The following is a 21,423-nucleotide window of genomic DNA, read 5'->3' as shown; positions in this document are numbered from 1 at the left end:
AGGTGAATGACATAATCCCCAATCCTTTTGGGACTTAATAATCTAGTGGTAGAGGGCAATAAGTAAAATAAAATAAAACATTGTAGCAAATTCTGTTACAATGGAAGGCAAAGGGTGCTACAGGAGTTGATAGTAAGGGATGGGATTTCTAGGAAGAGGAAACATCTTGTGCAATGGTGAAGAAGTTTGGGATAGCATGGCAAGTACTTTAGAATGACTGGAATTTAAACCTATGTGTTGAGGGAGTGGCTGGGGAGTGGTCTTTAATGAGCAAACCATGACTGGCTTTGGCAATCCACTTACAGAGTTTGCACTTTAAAGGGAGCTTCTGAAGACTTTTTAGTGGGGAAGCATCATAGTCATAATTGTTTCTAAAAGACCACTTTTAGAGCAGTGTGGAGGATAAAGGCAGGATACAACTTAGGATGAAGAGATCCGTCTGGAAAACACTGTAGTAATTCAAACAGAAAGTGTTATGTGTTTGAATTAAGGCAGTGGATATGAATGAAATTGGACTTGTTAAGTTGTTAACTGAGGGATATTTAAAGGGAAAAGTATAATAATGATAATCAAATATGCGGACTGAGGGGAGGAGCTCACATGCCTCTCAGTTTCTGGCTTTACCTCTAATGAAGGTGAACAGGAGGGACCAGAGGAGGGGTGTGTCTTGAGAGGATGATAAGGTCAGTTCTGGATGTGTTACACCTGAGATGCCAGTGATCCCTTCAGGAGACACGTCTAGAGGTGGCTGGGGAACATGGATCCAAAGAGACGTGTGAGCAGGAGAAGTACTACTTATGTTCATGTTTGGTGTGTATGGTGCCCCAGAATTGTGCTGGGCACAACAAATCTTTGAAGCCATATGTGACAGTCTTGGCTGGAGGAACAGGTTTGGAATTGTCCTAGATGGAGGTCAGCTGAAACTACGGGAGCAGATCAAGGACAGGATCTTAGAGAATAATATGAAAATTAACAAGCAAGCAAGGATGGGGAGCTTTATCAGGAAGAAGGAACAGCTAGAGCGGTAGAAAGGGAAAGCCAACATTCCCAAAAACTCAGTGTTGTTAAAGACCAACACTCTAAATATATGGATGATATTTCTCTAAGCTGAGTGATTAAATAAACTGCCCTTACTGATTTCTCAAAAGATTTATCATAGCCAGACTTTTAAATGATGTTAGGATTGTCCGGCTAAGGTTGATCTTAGAACTTAATCTTAGCCTCAATATTTATACCAGGTGAAATCGCTTCTTTCTCTCAGAACCATAAAAGTGCTTTCTTTGCCTAATCCTATTTTTGCATTTCCCCCCGTCACTTATCTCCCACTTGACCTCTGATCCACTTGTTCCGTGAATTTCTTGTTCTCTGCAAGAAACGTCAGTAGATATTTAATTAATAATATATACAGGCTGATTATCCTTTATTCAAAATGCTTGTGACTAGAAGTGTTTTAGATTTTGATTTTTTTCAGATTTTAGAATATTTGCATTATACTTACTGGTTGAACATCCCTAATCTGAAAATCCAAAATCCAAAATGCTCCAATGTGCATTTCCTTTGAGTGTCACGTTAGCACTCAAACAGTTTTGGATTTTTGAGTATTTCAGATTTTGCATTTGTAGATTAGGTATACTCAACCTGTGCTAGTATCTGTCAACATATGAATTTGTAATCATTCTTTTGCCTTACTCTACAATTTGAAATTCTGTTTTACCTTGTATGTGTTCATTCTCTACATTATAGGTTAGGATCTTTGGATTTGTTATTCTTTACATGCACCTAGTATTGTGCTGAGCATAATTAGTTATTCAAAGAATAATTAATAGACCATACAAGCAAGGCCACAGGAGAACACCAAACATCTGAAAGGTGGGAATAGAAAACAGAAGTCAAAGAAACTTTGTCGCAACTCTAGTTACAAGTCTGTACTGGTCTGCTTAATTGCTTTGGTGCTTACGTTCAGTTTTTTAAATTAGAAGTCCCCTTGCCATATATAAAATTATTTTTATTTTTCCAAATAATGAGATTTGAAGTTTGAAAAGTTACTTTAAACTGAGTTTGGTAACCATGACGTGTGACAGATTATATAGATTACCAGCAATTTGGACTTGAACCTCCTTTCTCAAAGTGACGAGATACTAATCAGCATTATAGGAAAAATGGTTCCAGGTCAGATAAACTTAAGAAATGCTGAGTGAAAAATAGGTATCTTTGGCCGGGCGTAGTGGCTCACTCCTGTAATCCCAGCACTTTGGGAGGCCGAGGTGGGTAGATCACCTGAGATCAGGAGTTCAAGACCAGCCTGGCCAACATGGCGAAACCCTGTCTCTACTAAAAATACAAAAATTAGCCAGGTGTGGTAGTGGGCACCTGTAATCCCAGCTACTTGGGCGGCTGAGGCAGAGAGAATTGCTTGAAACCCGGAAGCGGAGGTTGCAGTGAGCCAAGATCGTGCCACTGTACTCCAGCCTGGGCGACAGAGCGAGACTCCATCCCCACCAAAAAAAAAAAAAAAAAAGGTATCTTTATTGAAAGACTTTTCAGAGTCTTTAATATGTTAATATATTACAACTCTAAGAAGTGGCATAGGGTAAATAGCATTTGTCAAACTTATTTGACTGTGAAGACTTGTATTTTGTGAACACATTTTGGGAAACCATGAGGACCCTGAGACCAAAGAGGTTTGGTGACTTGCCCAAATTCACACAAATGGTAGCAAAGCTGAGATGAGAATCAGTTCTAATTTTAAATTGAGAGCTCTTTTCATTATACTACGCTGCTGCTATGCTAATTAGTTTTATTCTAAACACTTCATGGAAAGCAGTACACAAAATTGATACCACTGATCCACAGAAATTCTGACTTCTAAGACTCAGAGATTCCCTCCTTGTGTACAATGACAAGATGATCTCTCTGGAAGTATGTCAGCTGCTCCGTGGCCACGAAATAAACTGTGGGGGTGGGGAGGGTGGGCAGGAGGAGGAGCTCCCTGGGATGCTTTACGATGCTTAAAAGAAAAATGGATTTATGCCGAGGATAATTCCTGGAACAGATGTGAAACTAAATACTTCATATCACAATCCTGCCCCCACCCTTTCTGCAAGGGAAATGAAATAGCAGGATTAACCTGCTCTTCATCAGATCATGCTTTGTTTCTTTCAAAAAATCCCATGACCAGGGCAGATTCCATTTCCTGCTACTCCCCTTCCTATCACAACTAAGGGGACAGCCCAGGACAGAAGAGGCTTTCCTTGTGCCCTGCGATCACCAGGCAGGTTAATGCTCGAATATTCCCTTTTACCCCCAACACACATGCCACTTTCTCTGTCCTCACGCCATTAGGAAGTTGTCTTTTTTTTAGTGTAATAAGCATCGTAGAATGCTGAGAAATACATCAATCTCAGGGGAGGGAGGGAGGAATTCTAATTAGTTTAATTCTAATGCTCTCTGAAAAGAGTACATATAGGCTGAAAAGTGGCTCAGTGCGTGTCTGTGTGTTTTGCCATAAAAGCTGAGGTTTGTGAAAGAGATGGATGAATTTTATAAATAAAATAACATTTTGCCCAGGAAATGATAGAGTAAAGCAGAAATACAGTGATATATATATATATATATATATATATGTTTTTGTCATTCATTCATCACAGAGCTAGCTGTGCCATAATTTAATAACTCAGGTGTCAGGACATAAACTCTTCTGTTTGAGCCAAAAAGAACTGGAGCTTTCTCACTATCTTTGCTAAGCAATGAAATGCTGCTTTCCCTAATGACCCTGGCGGCTAGGCCAGGATCTCAGAGGAGGTCAGTGGCAGTTACCTCCTTTTTGAGTTGGGTTTGGTTGGAAAGGGTTTCGCCTACAGACAATCTCTGGTGCTCCATGGAAACGAACACCAAGAGCATCCCAGCAAACCAGGGGCTGGGTCACTTGAGGTATCTCTAAGAATCACCTTTCAAAGGCCAAACCACTTGTTCAATCACATCACAAGTGGGCAACAGGATGGTGTCAGGGAGGGGTGCCTAGGAACAGCAGAATTAAAGGGATTAACAATGGGAGAGAAGCAATTGGTGGCACAGCTAGCCCCATTCTCAGCTGCTCTTTCGTGGATTTGAAGCATGAGGTGAAGCTTAAGGCTGTGAAACTATAGTCAAGGTCCTCCTTGCTCTGTGCTGACGAAAGCAACAGAAATACTCGGGAGCCTGACACCTTTCCAAACAGGGAAAAAGAGAGTGAGGCCAGGCCCAGGGACAGCTGCTGTCCCCTAGGCACACCACCTTTCCTGGGAGGATAAAACAGCAGGGGCAGAGCAGAGCCCAGACATCTTTCTGCCTAAGACCTTAGAACACACTTCACACACGGGAGGCAGTCAAATTATTTGTTGGACGAATGAACAGGACACACTAAATACGTATTGATCAACAATTTGTCCATCTAAGATGTGAAGACAATTTGCTTATGTTGAAGGGCTTTTTTTTCCTCTTACTTTCTAAATATTAACTATTGATTCTTTCAGATTTATTGTGATATATTTCACATATTAATAAAATTCACTCATTTAAAGTATACAGTTCGGTGGTTTTTATTGTATACACAAAACGGGGGGATGGTTAATGGGTAAAAAATAAATAGAATAAGACCTACTATTTGATAGCACAATAGGGTGGTTATAGTTAACAATAACTTAATTGTATGTTATAAAATAGTATAATTGGATTGTTTTGTAACTCAAAGAATAAATGCTTGAGAAGATGGCTACCCCATTCTCCATGATGTGCTTATTTCACATTGCATGCCTGTATCAAAGCATCTCATGTACCCCATAAACACATACACCTACTATGTACCCACAAAAATTAAAACAAAAACAAAAACACAAACACAAAATGGGGTAACCATTACCACAATCTCATTTTAGAACATTTTCATTACTCCAAAAAGAAACCCAATGCCATTAGCAGTCACTCCCCATTTCTCGGCCCCCGCCAGCCCCAGTTCCTAGGCAATCTGTATATATACACTGCATTTTGTTTATCACTTCATTTTCTGGCTAACATTTAGGTTGTTTCCACATTTTTGGCTATTATGAATAATGTTGCTATGAACCCTCGTATACAAACATTTATGTGGACATATGTTTTCATTTCTCCTAAATGTATATTTAGGAGTGGAACTGTAAGGTCATATGGTAACTCTATGTTTAACTGTTTCAGGAACTGCCAAACTGTTTTCTAAACCAGCTGCGCCATTTTACATTTCCACCAGCAGTGTATAAGGATTCCAATTTCTCCACATCCTCATCTCCACTTGTTATTACCTGTCTTTTGATTACAGTCATCCTAGTGGTGTGATGTGGCATTTACTGTGGTTTTGATCTGTATTTCTCTAATGACTAATGATGCATCTTTTCATTGGTCATTTGTATATCTTTTTTGGAGAAATGTCTATTCAAATCCTTTGCCTGTTTAAAAAATTGGGTTGTTGGTACCAGCCACTGCAAAAACATGCCAAATTGTAAAGACCATTGATGCTATGAAGAAACTGCATCAATTAAGAGGCAAAATAACCAGCTAACATCATAATGACAGGATCAAATTCACACGTAACAATATTAACCTTAAATGTAAATGGGCTAAATGCCCCAATTAAAAGACACGAACTGGCAAATTGGATAAAGAGTCAAGACCCATCAGTGTGCTGTATTAAGGAGACCCATCTCACGTGCAGAGACACACATAGGCTCAAAACAAAGGGATGGACGAAGATCTACCAGGCAAATGGAAAGCAAAAAAAAAAAAAAAAAAAAAAAAAAAAGCTGGGGTTGCAATCCTAGTCTTTAAAATACATAGACAAGTTCTCCCTCTCCCTCTCCCTCTCCCTCTCCCCACGGCCCACGGCCCACGGCCCACGGTCTCCCTCTCCCTCTCTTTCCCCGGTCTCCCTCTGATGCCAAGGCGAAGCTGGACTATACTGCCGCCATCTCGGCTCACTGCAACCTCCCTGCCTGATTCTCCTGCCTCAGCCTGCCAAGTGCCTGCGATTACAGGTGCGCGCCGCCACGCCTGACTGGTTTTCGTACTTTTTTGGTGGAGACGGGTTTCGCTGTGTTGGCCGGGCTGGTCTCCAGCTCCTAACCGCGAGTGATCCGCCAGCCTCGGCCTCCCGAGGTGCCGGGATTGCAGACGGAGTCTGGTTCACTCAGTGCTCAATGGTGCCCAGGCTGGAGTGCAGTGGCGTGATCTCGGCTTGCTACAACCTCCACCTCCGAGCCGCCTGCCTTGGCCTCCCAAAGTGCCGAGATTGCAGCCTCTGCCGGGCCCCCAGCCCGTCTGGGAAGTGAGGAGCGTCTCTGCCTGGCCGCCCATCGTCTGGGACGTGAGGAGACCCTCTGCCTGGCTGCCCAGTCTGGAAAGTGAGGAGCGTCTCTGCCCAGCCGCCATCCCATCTAGGAAGTGAGGAGCGTCTCTGCCCGGCCGCCCATCGCCTGAGATGTGGGGAGCGCCTCTGCCCCGCCGCCCCGTCTGGGATGTGAGGAGCGCCTCTGCCCCGCCGCCCCGTCTGGGATGTGAGGAGCGCCTCTGCCCGGTCGCGACCCCGTCTCGGAGGTGAGGAGCGTCTCTGCCAGGCCGCCCCATCTGAGAAGTGAGGAGACCCTCCACCTGGCAACCGCCCCGTCTGAGAAGTGAGGAGCCCCTCCGCCCGGCAGCCACCCCGTCCGGGAGGGAGGTGGGGGTCAGCCCCCGCCAGGCCAGCCGCCCCGTCCGGGAGGGAGGTGGGGGGGTCAGCCCCCGCCAGGCCAGCCGCCCCGTCCGGGAGGGAGGTGGGGGGGTCAGCCACCCGCCCGGCCAGCCGCCCCGTCCGGGAGGGAGGTTGGGGGGTCAGCCCCCCGCCCGACCAGCCGCCCCATCCTGGAGGTGAGGGGCGCCTCTGCCCGGCCGCCCCTACTGGGAAGTGAGGAGCCCCTCTGCCCGGCCTGCCGCCCCGTCCGGGAGTGAGGTGGGGGGGTCGGCCCTCCGCCTGGCCAGCCGCCCCGTCCAGGAGGGAGGTGGGGGGGTCAGCCCCCCGCCCGACCAGCCGCCCCATCCGGGAGGTGAGGGGCGCCTCTGCCCGGCCGCCCCTACTGGGATGTGGGGAGCTCCTCTGCCCGGCCACCACCCGGTCTGGGAGGTGTACCCAGCAGCTCATTGAGAGCGGGCCGGGATGACAATGGCGGTTTTGTGGAATAGAAAGGGGGGAAGGATGGGGAAAAGATTGAGAGGTCGGATGGTTGCCGTGTCTGTGTAGAGGGAAGTAGTCATGGGAGACTTTTCATTTTGTTCTGTACCAAAAAAAATTCTTCTGCCTTGGGATCCTGTTGATCGGTGACCTTACCCCCAACCCTGTGCTCTCTGAAACATGTGCTGTGTCCACTCAGGGTTAAATGGATTAAGGGTGGTGCAAGATGTGCTTTGTTAAACAGATGCTTGAAGGCAGCATGCTCATTAAGAATCATCACCACTCCCTAATCTCAAGTACCCAGGGACACAAACACTGCGGAAGGCCGCAGGGTCCTCTGCCTAGGAAAACCAGAGACCTTTGTTCACTTGTTTATCTGCTGACCTTCCCTCCACTATTGTCCTATGACCCTGCCAACTCCCCCTCTGCGAGAAACACCCAAGAATGATCAATAAAAAAAAAAAAACAGGCAAAATAACCAGCTAACATCATAATGACAGGATCAAATTCACACATAACAATATTAACGTTAAATGTAAATGGGCTAAATGCCCCAATTGAAAGACACGAACTGGCAAATTGGATAAAGAGTCAAGACCCATCAGTGTGCTGTATTAAGGAGACCCATCTCACGTGCAGAGACACACATAGGCTCAAAACAAAGGGATGGACGAAGATCTACCAGGCAAATGGAAAGCAAAAAAAAAAAAAGCTGGGGTTGCAATCCTAGTCTTTAAAATACATAGACAAAATAGACTTTAAACCAATAAAGATCAAAAGAGACAAAGAAGGCCATTACATAATGGTAAAGGGATCAATTCAACAAGAAGAGCTAACTATCCTAAATATATATGCACCCAATATAGGAGGACCCAGATTCATAAAGCAAGTTCTTAGAGACCTACAAAGAGACTTAGACTCCCACACAATAATAGTGGAAGACTTTAACACCCCACTGTCAATATTAGATCAACAAGACAGAAAATTAACAAGGACATCTAGGACTTGAACTCAGCTCTGCACCAAGCAGACCTAATAGACATCTATAGTACTCTCCATCCCATATCAACAGAATATACATTCTTCTTAGCACCACATCACACTTATTCTAAAATTGACCACATAATTGGAAGTAAAGCACTCCTCAGCAAATGTAAAAGAACAGAAATCACAACAAACTGTCTCTCGGATCACAGTGCAATCAAATTAGAACTCAAGATGAAGAAACTCACTCAAAACCACACAACTACATGGAAACTGAACAACCTGCTCCTGAATGACTACTGGGTAAATAACAAAATGAAGGCAGAAATAAAGATGTTCTTTGAAACCAACGAGAACAAAGACACAACGTACCAGAATCTCTGGGACACATTTAAAGCAGTGTGTAGAGGGAAATTTATAGCACTAAATGCCCACAAGAGAAAGCAGGAAAGATCTAAAATCAACACCCTAACATCACAATGGAAAGAACTAGAGAAGCAAAAGCAAACAAATGCAAAAGCTAGTAGAAGGCAAGAAATAACTAACATCAGAGCAGAACTGAAAGAGATAGAGACACAAAAAACTCTTCAAAAAAACCCAATGAATCCAGGAGCTGGTTTTTTGAGAAGATCAACAAAATTGACAGACTGCTAGCAAGACTAATAAAGAATAAAACAGAGAAGACTCAAATAGACGCAATAAAAAATGATAAAGGGAATATCACCACTGATCCCACAGAAATACAAACTACCATCAGACAAATAAACTAGAAAATCTAGAAGAAATGGATAAATTCCTGGACACATACACCCTCCCAAGACTAAACCAGGAAGAAGTTGAATCTCTGAATAGACCAATAACAGGCTCTGAAATTGAGGCAATAATTAATAGCCTACCAACCAAAAAAAGTCCAGGACCTGTCGGACTCACAGCCGAATTCTACCAGAGGTACAAAGGGGAGATGGTGCCATTCCTTCTGAAACTATTCCAGTCAATAGAAAAACAGGGAAACCTCCCTAACTCATTTTATGACGCCAGCATCATCCTGATACCAAAGCCCCGCAGAGACACAACAAAAAAAGAGAATTTTAGATAAATATCCCTGATGAACATCTATGCGAAAATCCTCAATAAAATACTGGCAAACTGAATCCAGCAGCACATCAAAAAGCTTATCCACCATGATCAAGTGTTCATCCCTGGGATGCAAGGCTGGTTCAACATACGCAAATCAACAAACGTAATCCATCACATAAACAGAACCAGAGACAAAAACCACATGATTATCTCAATAGATGCAGAAAAGGCCTTTGACAAAATTCAACAGCCCTTCATGCTAAAAACACTCAATAAGCTAGGTATTGATGGAATGTATCTCAAAATAATAAGAGCTATTTATGACAAACCCACAGCCAATATCATACTGAATGGGCAAAAACTGGAAGCATTCCCTTTGAAAACCGGCACAAGACAAGGATGCCCTCTCTCACCACTCCTATTCAACATAGTGTTGGAAGTTCTGGCCAGGGCAATCAGGCAAGAGAAAGAAATAAAGGGTATTCAATTAGGAAAAGAGGAAGTCAAATTGTCCGTTTGCAGATGACATGATTGTATATTTAGAAAACCCCATCGTCTCAGCCCAAAATCTCCTTAAGCTGATAAGCAACTTCACCAAGTCTCAGGATACAAAATCAACGTGCAAAAATCACAAGCATTCCTATACACCAGTAACAAACAAACAAACAAACAAAGAGCCAAATCATGAGCGAACTCCCATTCACAATTGCTACAAAGAGAATAAAATACCTAGGAATGTAACTCACAAGGAATGTGAAGGACCTCTTCGAGGAGAACTACAAACTACTGCTCAACAAAATAAAAGAGGACTCAAACAAATGAAGAACATTCCATGCTCATGGATAGGAAGAATCAATATAGTGAAAATGGCCATATTGCCCAAGGTAATTTATAGATTCAATGCCATCCCCATCAAGCTACCAATGACTTTCTTCACAGAATTGGAAAAAACTACTTTAAAGTTCATATGGAACCAAAAAAGAGCCCACATTGCCAAGACAATCCTAAGCAAAAAGAGCAAAGCTTAGGAGGCATCGCACTACCTGACTTCAAACTATACTACAAGGTTACAGTAACCAAAACAGCATGGTACTGGTACCAAAACAGATATATAGACCAATGGAACAGAACGGAGGCCTCAGAAATAACAGAACACATCTACAACAATCTGATCTTTGACAAACCTGACAAAAACAAGCAATGGGGAAAGGATTCCCTTTTTAATAAATGGTGCTGGGAAAACTGGCTAGCCATATGAAGAAAGCTGAAATTGGATCCCTTCCTTACATCTTATACAAAAATTAATTCAAGATGGATTAAAGACTTAAATGTTAGACCTAAAACCATAAAACCCTAGAATAAAACCTAGGCAATACCATTCAGGACATAGGCATGAGCAAGGACTTCATGACTAAAACACCAAAAGCAATGGCAACAAAAGCCAAAAAAGACAAATGGGATCTAATTAAACTAAAGAGCTTCTGCATGTCAAAAGAAACTATCATCAGAGTGAACAGGCAACCTACAGAATGGGAGAAAATTTTTGCAATCTACCCAACTGACAAAGGGCTAATATCCAGAATCTACAAAGAACACAAACAAATTTACAAGGAACAAACAAACAACCCCATCAAAAAGTGGGCAAAGGATATGAACAGACACTTCTCAAAAGAAGACATTTATGTAGCCAACACACACATGAAAAAATGCTCATCATCACTGGTCATCAGAGAAATGCAAACCAAAACCACAACGAGATACCATCTCATGTCAATTAGAATGGCAATCATTAAAAAGTCAAGAAACAACAGATGCTGGAGAGGATGTGGAGAAATAGGAACGCTTTTACACTGTTGTTAGGAGTGTAAATTAGTTCAACCATTCAAGGATCTAGAACTAGAATTACCATTTGATCCAGCGATCCCATTACTGGGTATATACCCAAAGGATTATAAATCATGCTACTATAAAGACACATGCACTTGTATGTTTACTGCAGCACTATTCACAACAGCAAAGACTTGGACCAACCCAAATGTCCATCAGTGACAGAACTGGATTAAGAAAATGCAGCACATTTACACCGTGGAATACTATGCAGCCATAAAAAAGGATGAGTTCATGTCCTTTGCAGGGACATGGATGAAGCTAGAAATCATCATTCTCAGCAAACTATCACAAAGCAGAAAACCAAACACCGCATGTTCTCATTCACAGGTGGGAACTGAACAATGAGAACACTTGGACACAGGGGTCGAGGGGAACATCACACACCAGGGCCTGTCGAGGGGTGGGGAACTGGGGGAGGAATAGCATTAGGAGAAATATGATGGGTGCAGCAAACCAACATGGCACATGTATACCTATGTATCAAACCTACACGTTGTGCACTTGTACCCTAGAACTTAAATTTAAAAAAAAATTGGGTTATCTTTTTATTGTTGGGCTACAAGAGGTCTGTATATATTCTGGATACAAGTCCCTTGCCATATAAATGATTTGCAAATAATTTCTGCCACTCTGTGGGCTGTCTTTTACATTTCATTTTGTTGTTGTTGTTGTTGTTGTTGCTTTTGAGACAGGATCTCACTCTCACCCAGGCTGGAGTGCAGTGGTGCAATCTCAGCTCACTGCAACCTCCACTTCCTGGGCTCAAGCATTCCTCCCACCTCAGCCTCCCCAGTAGCTGGAACTTACAGGCGTGAGGCACTATGCCTGGCTAATTTTTGTATTTTTAGTAGAGATGGGATTTTGCCATGTTGCCCAGGCTGGTCTCAAACTCCTGAGCTCAAGTGATCTGCCTGCCTTGGCCTCCCAAAATGCTGGGACTACAGGTGTGAGCCACTGCACCCGGTTTGTCCTTCACATTTCTTGGTGGTATCCGTTGAAGCACATAATTTTAAAATTCTGATGAAGTCCAACTTGTCTAATTTTGTTGTTGCTTGTACTTTTTGGTATCACAGCTAAGAAACTGTGGCCTAATCCAACGACATGAAGATTTATTCCTATGTATTCTTCTAGGAATTTTATAGTTTTAGCCCTTTCATGTAGGTATTTTATCAATTTTTGGTTAATATTTGTGTAGATGTGAAACAGGGGTCCAACTTCACTGTTTTGCATGTGGATAACCAACTGTTCAAATGCCAGTTGTTGAAGAGACTATTCCGCTGAATAGTCTTGGTACCACTGAATAGTTGTTGAAGAGACTAGTCCACTGAATAATCAATTGGCTATTTGATATATAAGTTTATTTCTGGACATTTAATTCTATCCCATCCATACTGTTTTGGTTACTGTAGCTTTATATTCACTATTAGATTAAAATCCTTTTTTAAAATTATGACTCCATACTGCTGAGTGAACTTCTGTTTTGGATTTTTCAAGTTACCAGGCCCCTCCCTGTCCTATTCTTTTTGGAGAATCTCAGCAAAGACCTGAGCACAAGGAAGCTTTTCTTTTCTTTTTCTTTTTCCTTTTTTTTTTTTTTTTTTTTTTTTGAGACGGTCTTGCTCTGGAGCCAGGCTGGAGTGCAGTGGCGTGATCTCAGCTCACTGCAACCTCTGACTCCCTGGTTGAAGCAATTCTCCTGCCTCAGCCTCCCGAGTAGCTGGGATTACAGGCACGTGCCACCATGCCCAGCTAATTTTTGTATTTTTAGTAGAGACAGGGTTTCACCATGTTGGCTAGGATGGTCTCGAACTCCTGACCTCGTGATCCACCTGCCTCAGCCTCCCAAAGTGCTGGGATTACAGGTGTGAGCCACTGCGACTGGCCAGAAGCTTTTCTTTAAATGAAACAGGAATCATTAATAACTTGTCTCAGTGTTTAAAGCAGCTATACTGTGAGCAAATCTTAGGAAGACAACATTCGTGAACAGAATTTACTATCATAATAAAATTAAAGTTATAACAATATTAATCTCCATAATTTAAGAGTATACATAGTCATTATTCAGCTGAAGGATAATCAAATAGTAAATAATTTATGTGAATGAATGTGATATATCATAATTTTATATTGTACTCAGAGCAAATTTATAATTTTGATAAGTATATTTATAGGGTACTTTTTTTCTCTATGGCTCATTTTTTCCATCTTCCTCATTTACGGTGACCTTTTAAACACTTCCAGAAACATGAGGGCTCTCATGTGTTACTGTAACTGAAAGGTAATAGGGACCCCCAACTCCATGTACTAGTAGACAGGACTGGGGCAAATTTGGGTCAAGGAACAACGTATCTATTTATAGCAGTCAAGAAGCTGGTGGTAGAGGGGCTGCAGAAGTGTGATGAAGTTCCTCCAGCAGGGGTGGAGTCTCTGGAAAGAAAATGTGCTGTGATTGAAACCAGTAGATGTATATCATTAGCCATCCCCCCTTCTTCCTCAATAAAAGAGCCCAGATCTGACTGGGAAGGCAATGTGCCCAGCTAAAAGACCACCTCTCTAGACACCTCTGTTGCTAAGGAGAAGTAGGCAAGGGAGCCAGTGTTGGCCAATGATATGGTAGTTAGAACTGCTGGGCTTCCAAGAAAGTGTTTTTGAAAGGGGGACAGATTGACCTGGCATCTGTCTTTTGCCCTTCCCCCTCTTCTCACTGAAACATGGACACAATGCCGGTAGGAACAGAAACCATCTTATGACCAGCAAAATGAAAGCCAATGCATTAGAGTTAGTAGAGCAGAAAGAGAGCAGCCTGGCTCCTCAGTTATGTCTCTGAAGAGCAGCACTAGCCCTGGACCTCCTGTCTCCAGACTTTTTGACATGTGAGAAAAATAAATCCCTTACTTACCCTGCCACTGATTTCTCGGAGTTTCTGTTACCTGCAGGGAATGCTCTCTTAACTAATCCAGGGGTGATTCCCAAGCCCTCTCGGCTTTTCCCCCACCTCCTACCTCCTCACTTCAGCTCCACCCTCTGCTGCAGAGCTTCATCTACATCCATGTTTCCTCTGCCAACCAGAACTGCTGTCCCTTCGAAGGCGGTTCGGGCATGTGGGAAAGATCCCAGATCACCCCCACCCAGGGGAGTAGAGGCAGAAGGCCCACCTTGCTCCTTATCCTCCCTCTCCAGGTCTGGCTCCATCTAAATAAGAGAAAGTTAAATGGCTGGATAAAGAGACAGCCAGCCTAAACTACACATGCCCCCCTACTGCCAGGCATCCCCCTAATGAGCCATTTGAGATAACAACCAGACACTGCAGGGAGGCGGAGGCCACAGGGCCTGATCACCAGCCGCTTAGCTCCATTAGGAAAGGAAGCTGATAAAATGAAATCACCTTGACGGGCCGAGTTTTCAGATGAAGAAGCAGTTCAGCAGCTTCTAGAAAAAAACTGCTTGGGTGTGAATTTCAGCTCCATCATTGACCGTGTGGCTTGGACAAGCTACTTAACTTCTCTCAGCCTTAGTTTCCTCAAATGCAAAATCGAGAAAACAAAAACACCTAATCTGGGGTATAATACATACACAATCTATAATCTTTCTTTAAAAATTGTGGCAAAATACATGTAACATAAACTTTACCATCCTAACAATTTCAAGTGTACAGTTCAGTGGCATTAAGTGCATTCACGCTGCACGACCATCCCATCATTCAGCTCCAGAACTCTGCATCCTGCAAAACTGCAACTCTGTGCCCATTAAACAAAAACATCCTATTCCCCTCTCTCCCCACCCCCTGCTGACCACCATTCTACTTTCTACCTTTCCGATTCTGACTACTTTAGGTACCTTGTATAAGTGGAATCATATAGTACTTGTCTTTTTGTGATTGGCTCATTTCACTTAGCATAACGTCCTGAAAGTTCCATGCTGTAGCTTATTGCAGAATTTCCTTTATTTTGAAGGCTGAATAGTATTTCACTGAATACATAGACCACATTTTGTTGACTCATTCATCTGCCGACGGACACTTGGGATGCTTCTGTCTTTTGATTACTGTGAATAATGCTGTTAGGAGGATACAAATATCTGTTTCTGTCTCTGCTTTCAATTCTTTTGGGCATACGCACACAGAATGAAATTGCTGGATCATATGGTAATTCAATTTTTTTGTTTTTTTGAGACAGAGTCTCGCTCTGTCACCGAGGCTGGAGTGCCCTGGTGTGATCATGGATCATGGCAGCCTCGACCTCCCAGCTCAAGTGATCCTCCCACCTCAGTCTCCCAAGTAGTTAGAACTATAGGCATGTGCCACTGTGCCTGGCTACTTTATTTTTCGTAGAACCAGGGTTTCCTTATGTTGCCCAGGCTGGTCTTGAACTCCTGGCCTCAAGTAGTCTTCCTGCCTCAGCCTCCCAAAGTGCTGGGATTACAGGTGTGAGCCACTGCACCTGGCCAGTAATTCTATGTTTAATTGTTTGAGGAACCACCATAGTGTTTTTCATAGTAGCTGCACCATCTTCCATTCCCAACAGTACACCGGGGTTCCAATTTCTCCACATCTTCCCCAGTACTTGTTAGTTTTTAGTCCTCCCTTCCCTTCTTCCCTCCCTCCCTCCCTTCCTTCCCTTCTTTCCTTCTTCCCTTTCCCCTCCCTCTCCTCCCCTCATCCCTCTCTATCTCTCTGTTTCTTGTGACAGTCTTGCTCTGTCACCCAGGCTGGAGTACAGCAGCCCGATCATATCTCACTGCAGCCTTGAATTTCTGGGCTTAAGCAATCCTGCCTCTGTCTCCCAAGAAGCTGGGACTACAGGTGTGTGCAACCATGCCTGTCTAATTGTTTTTATTGTCTGTAGAGACGGTGTTTCACTGTGTTGCCCAGGTTGGTCTTGAACTTCTGGCCTCCAGTGATCCTCTTGCCTTGGCCTCCCAAAGTGCTAGGATTACAGGCAGGAGCCACCATGTCCGACTTATTTTTTGCTTTTTTAATAGTAGCCATCCTAAAGGTGTGAGGTGGTATCTCACCATGGGTTCTGATTTGCATTTCTCTTATGATTAGCAATGTTGAGCATCTTTTCATGTGCCTATTAGTTATTTGCATATCTTCTTTGAATGTCTATTCTAACCCATTTTTATACAGGAATTTTTGCTGTTGCTATTGAGGCAATCTATCATCTTCATATCCCAATCCTGCAAGATTGATATTTTTATGCTTATTGTATAGATGAGGAAACTGAGGCTGAAAGAGGTTAAGTGATTAGCCTAAAGTTGCCAACTGGACAGTGACAGGGCCCACACAGGTCAGTCTAACTTCACAGTTATGATCTTTCCACCCTGCATTCTGGAATTCTTACAAAACTTAGGTATTGTTACTGACAACAGCAGTGGTAATGCTGCATGGCCCTGTGAAGCAAAAAGAAGTAAGGAAGGTAACAAGTAAGGGTTGAGAGAACTTTGGTTTTGTTTCTGGGAATACTGTGCACATTTAAAGTGTAACATATGACTCCGGAACCATGATGATAAATTTTACACAATACTCAACACCTGTCAGATTAGAGTGTGGTGTTCAGTTTCAGGTATTACACAACTTAAGAGGAACCTAAAGAATTCATGGTGAGTTCAGAAGATAAGAAAGACAGTTCAGTGTTCAAAAGAGAAATCTGATCTGTGCAATAAACAATTCCAGTTAGTTAGGTGATGTAGAGGGGAGAAAAAAAAAGCTGAAAGCGAATGTTTTCCAAATAAATTCAATCTCATTTTAACTTTGTTCCCTTATAATGAGATTCTTGAATGTGGTCTAAAATGGAACATCTTCATACTGAAATCTACCATGTAACAAGTTATAGTAAGGTTGGGAATGTGTAGCAGATGTTGTTATCTAAAGAGTAGCGATCGGCCGGGCACAGTGGCTCATGCCTGTAATCCCAGCACTTTGGGAGGCCAAGGTGGGCGGATCACGAGGTCAGGAGATCGAGACCATCCTGGCTAACACAGTGAAGCTCCGTCTCTACTGAAAATACAAAAAATTAGCCAGGCATGGTGGCAGGCTCCTGTAGTCCCAGCTACTCAGGAGGCTGAGGCAGGAGAATGGCGTGAACCTGGGAGGCGGAGCTTGCAGTGAGCCGAGATTGGGCCATTGCATTCCAGCCTGGGCGACAGAGCAAGACTCCGTCTCAAAAAAAAAAAAAAAAAAAAAACAAGAGTAGTGATCAATCATTCATTATTTTACAGGAAGTAGTTTTACAATGTTGCAAGAAATGGGATAGAAATACCAGGTAATTTATAAGGAAGGTTATTCTGATTTTGAAGACTGTTTAATAATAAAATGCATTTTTTATGAAATCTTCATTAGAAGATTTTATCTTCTGAGGTTAGGCATTTGACTTAAATCCAGGAGAACAGAGGAAATGGACTATTTTTCAGAAAAGTTTTATGTATGTATGTGTTCTTTTCTTTAGGGTCTACAATACAAAGTAATGAAACATTTTGGGTATTACTAGGGATTGAAGAAACATACAGATATAATTCTGCCCTCAAAAAGTTTATGGTCTTATTGAAGAGACAATTCACCCAAAAAGTAAGCAGTGATAAAAGATGACAAAATCTGAAGAAGTGTTAAACTTTGTGATATAAATTGTAGGTCTCTAGGAATTTTTTAAACGACAAGATAAATGAGTGACAGAGCGGGACTCATCTCAAAACACAAATAAAAACAAAAACAAAACAAAACAAAAAACTTAACTGGGCCCTTAGGGGATAAAATATATATATATATATATATATTTTTTTTTTTTTTTTTCCTTTTAAACAGTCTTCCTCTGTCGCCTAGGCTGGAGCGCAGTGGTACAATCTTGGCTCACTGCAACCTCTGCCTCCCTGGACTGAAGCAATTCTTCTGCCTCAGCCACCCGAGTAGCTGGTGCTAAAGACGTGTGCCACCACGCCCAGCTAATTTTTGTATTTTTAATAGAGACAGGGTTTCGTTATGTTGGCCACGCTGGTCTTGAACTCCTGGCCTCCAGTGATCTGCCCACCTCGGCCTCCCAAAGTACTGGGATTACAGGTGTGAGCCACTGAGCTTGGCCTAAGAATAGGAAGAATTTGCATATGTAGGCAGGTATTCCAAATGTCAGTAGAAGAATAAAAAAAGGCAGAAATATGAAAATTTACTCATTCATCTATTCAATCAGAATTTCTTTTTTATTTTTGGTTATTTATTTGTCACCTTATTATTTTTTGTTTTCTTTTCTGAATTGGGATTTCTTAAGCCCCTACTACAGGCTGGGCACTATGCTAGACCCTAGAGTTTTAGAGTCCACTTGGACCTGATCCTCGCATTCCAGGAAATTTCAAGCTTAGTAGAGGGAGCAGTTAAGTAACCATAAAGATCCTAGAGTATTGTAAAAGCCATGATAGAGGTAATTACAGAGTTCTAAAGAGCAGAGTCAAAAGCATCTAAATCAGATTAACATAGGGTAGGGCTGGACAGGAGAAAAGTGGTTGAGGACAAACAGGAATAGGCATATTGGGGAGGGAGGGAGCAAAAGTGGGGAGATGGTGCCTAGGCAGAGGAAACTGTGTATGGGAGTCAGGGAGCAGACAATCAACATGCCACATGATAGAGCGAGAATACTGCTTAGCTGCCAAAGCTTTCAGAAGATGTTACCTCTGCCACCTGCTTTCCCAAGCATATATTAATAGACGCATCTTCAAACAGTAAGATAAAAGACCAGGTATCTGGATCCTTGCCTAAGAGCACAACTAGTTCTTATCAAGCAATCAATTGAGAGAAGTTATATTTAGGATTGCCTAAGACACATGCAATTCACCCAATCCTCTAAATAACCATTATCTTACCCTTGGATTACGAAGACCACAAGGAAACTTAGACTATATTCCTTTTGTCCCCTCACAAAACTGTCTTCATTGACGTGTACTATAATATTTTATCTTTGCACAGTTCATGCCAAGGAGTAGGCATATGAAACACAGCACTCTATTGGCCTGTTGACTGAGAAGCTACTATTGACTATTTTTTAATAGTTCATTAGCAGTTGACTACTACTTTATTAGGTGTCTTGTATATAAAGTATGTAAAATACTTCCTTTAGAACCAATACTAGGAAATATCTTGACTTTCCCTGGAGTATTTCTTCCTTTTTGATTGTGAGAACTATATACTCCAATTTATCATGTTTCCCTGTTTGCCCTGCCTATTAGGAATCTTAGAACCAAATTTCACCTCAACGACAATAAGTTTATTTAGGCTGATATTTGAAAACTTGGAATTATCTTGTTTTTTGGCCCTGACTTTCCCTTTATACCTTGTTATTTTATTGCATGTGGTTTTATATTTTAAGACCCTATGCTGGACATGAAAAGGCTATGCTGTACCTGCCTAGCTACAATCCCATCTGAAAAAATGGTCAGACATGCATACATTGGCAGCTTTGTATCACACAATCATACTACCCTAGTACCAGGCTGGCATCTGTCTGGAAGGCAGCTGCCACCCACTTTATTTAGGCCAGTTAAGGCCTGGGAGAGAGAGCTCTGCCCACCAGGGGCACTTTGCTGGAGGAATGAATGAGAAGTATTCCATTCTGTCTTCTGAAAACTGAATGTAAAAAAAAAAAAGGAGAGAAACAATCCCATAGAGAGAGTCACGTCATGAGTAGGGCGGAGCTGTCAGCCTAGACAACAATGGAAGCTGGCTGCGGAGGAGCCAGCAAATGACCTGGCCACGGGATGGGCTAACCCGAGCTGCTGTTCAGCCAGTAAAGCTGCTGATTCTCTCAGCAACGCTGCAGGTTTTCAGGAGGTCTGGCTCTTGAGACTGATTCCTCCCTGTGCTCATGTACAACAACTTCCCTTCCAGAGGTGAACTGAGGGTCTCTCTCCTCTCGATCATCAGAAGGCTCTTGTGGTAATAATAAGAATAAATGTACACATGTACGATGATGATTAATTTTGGAGAATACTAAAAAGGAAGAATAAATATAAAACAGAAGGCCTGTGAGCGGTCATTTTTCTGAGTTGTGATTTTGAAAATTCCATATTCCAGTATCTGATTAAAAACTATCAATAATTTATTGCCTAATATAATTTGAAGCTTAGGCATAAGTTAAAAAACTCTCCTGTCAAATTCCAAAATATCTTCATTTGGGCTTGTCACAAGTCTTAATTTCCCTGGGAATCAAATTACAAATAAATAAAAAGGGAAGGAAAATACCTCACTCTCACTTTTCAGTTCATTAGATATTAAAATAAGAGTGATTCTTCTAACCAACACCAAACAACTAAATGATACATACAGCAACTTCTAAGCAGCTGCTTTTTCTTCACCTCATCATCTTAAAATCAGGTTGGTTTTCTAACTTCTTTCCCCATTTTATAATGGGGATAGAGGCTATGTTTTATTATAGCGAAGGCAAGTCCACACATTCAAGCTACTCCTCTCTGGTATCAACTAACTGCATAACCAGACTGGGCGCGGTGGCTCATGCCTGTAATCCTAGCACTTTGGGAGGCCAAGGTGGGCAAATCGCTTGAGGTCAGGAGTTCGAGGCCAGCCGGGCCAACATGGTGAAACACTGTCTCTACTAAAAATTAAAAAAAAAAATTAGCCATGCATGGTGGCGCATGCCGGTAATCCCAGCTACTCGGGAGGCGAAGGCTCGAGAGTTGTTTGGACCTGGGAGGCGGAAGTTGCAGTGAGCTGAGATCATGCCGCTGCACTCCAGTCTGGCTGGGTGACAGAGCGAGACTCTGACTCAAAAAAACAAAAACAAAAACAAAAGCAACCAACCACCCACCCCCCAACAACAAAAAAACCCTGCATTCAAGTTTTAAGAGAAGGGAGCCCCTTGACATCTATGGTGCAAACTGGAAATACCTGCATGTTCAAAAGACGAGAACAAAGAAGTATAAGAGACTACTGTTTTAGTTTTAGTAATGCTCTTCATTTTGAGGACTTAAGAGAATCTGAGTCTTTTTCTTTATAATCACAATTTGAAAGAATACAGGATAAAAATCAATACAAATCATGCCAACAGGGCAATACACTTCAAGTCATCATTCTCCAAGCCCTGCTATTATCTACCTACACTTTTTGGGACCTGGTTCAAACTCTACAGATCAGGTAAGCAGAGGTGTAAATATTTCCGTGTGGAAAGCTTGCTTTTTCCAAAGACAGGCGTGGCTTAGCATGTCATTTTCTTTCTTTAGAACTTTCAGGAGCAATTATGCCCTGAGGATATGAGGACAATAAAGCA

The 21,423-nt window shown here is 42.4% G+C and overlaps 1 protein-coding gene across 1 annotated transcript in view, besides 1 other annotated feature; it reads right to left on the bottom strand.

The window, feature by feature from the left end:
- TTLL5 (tubulin tyrosine ligase like 5) overlaps window positions 1-21,423 on the bottom strand; it is a 293,834-nt gene that overhangs the window by 23,114 nt on the left and 249,297 nt on the right. The window lies entirely within an intron of this gene.
- Window positions 14,206-14,707: an enhancer, noted in NCBI's record as "NANOG hESC enhancer chr14:76383602-76384103 (GRCh37/hg19 assembly coordinates)". NCBI's record gives its function as "activates a minimal SCP1, AML or CMV promoter by ChIP-STARR-seq in primed H9 embryonic stem cells {active_cell/tissue: H9 hESC(primed)}" and the evidence as "EXISTENCE:reporter gene assay evidence [ECO:0000049][PMID:30033119]".

The sequence above is a fragment of the Homo sapiens genome, chromosome 14 (assembly GCF_000001405.40).
Source record: "Homo sapiens chromosome 14, GRCh38.p14 Primary Assembly".
Lineage (NCBI taxonomy): Eukaryota > Metazoa > Chordata > Mammalia > Primates > Hominidae > Homo > Homo sapiens.
The sequence above is the reverse complement of the archived record's forward strand: the minus strand, read 5'-3'. Positions and strand labels throughout refer to the sequence as shown.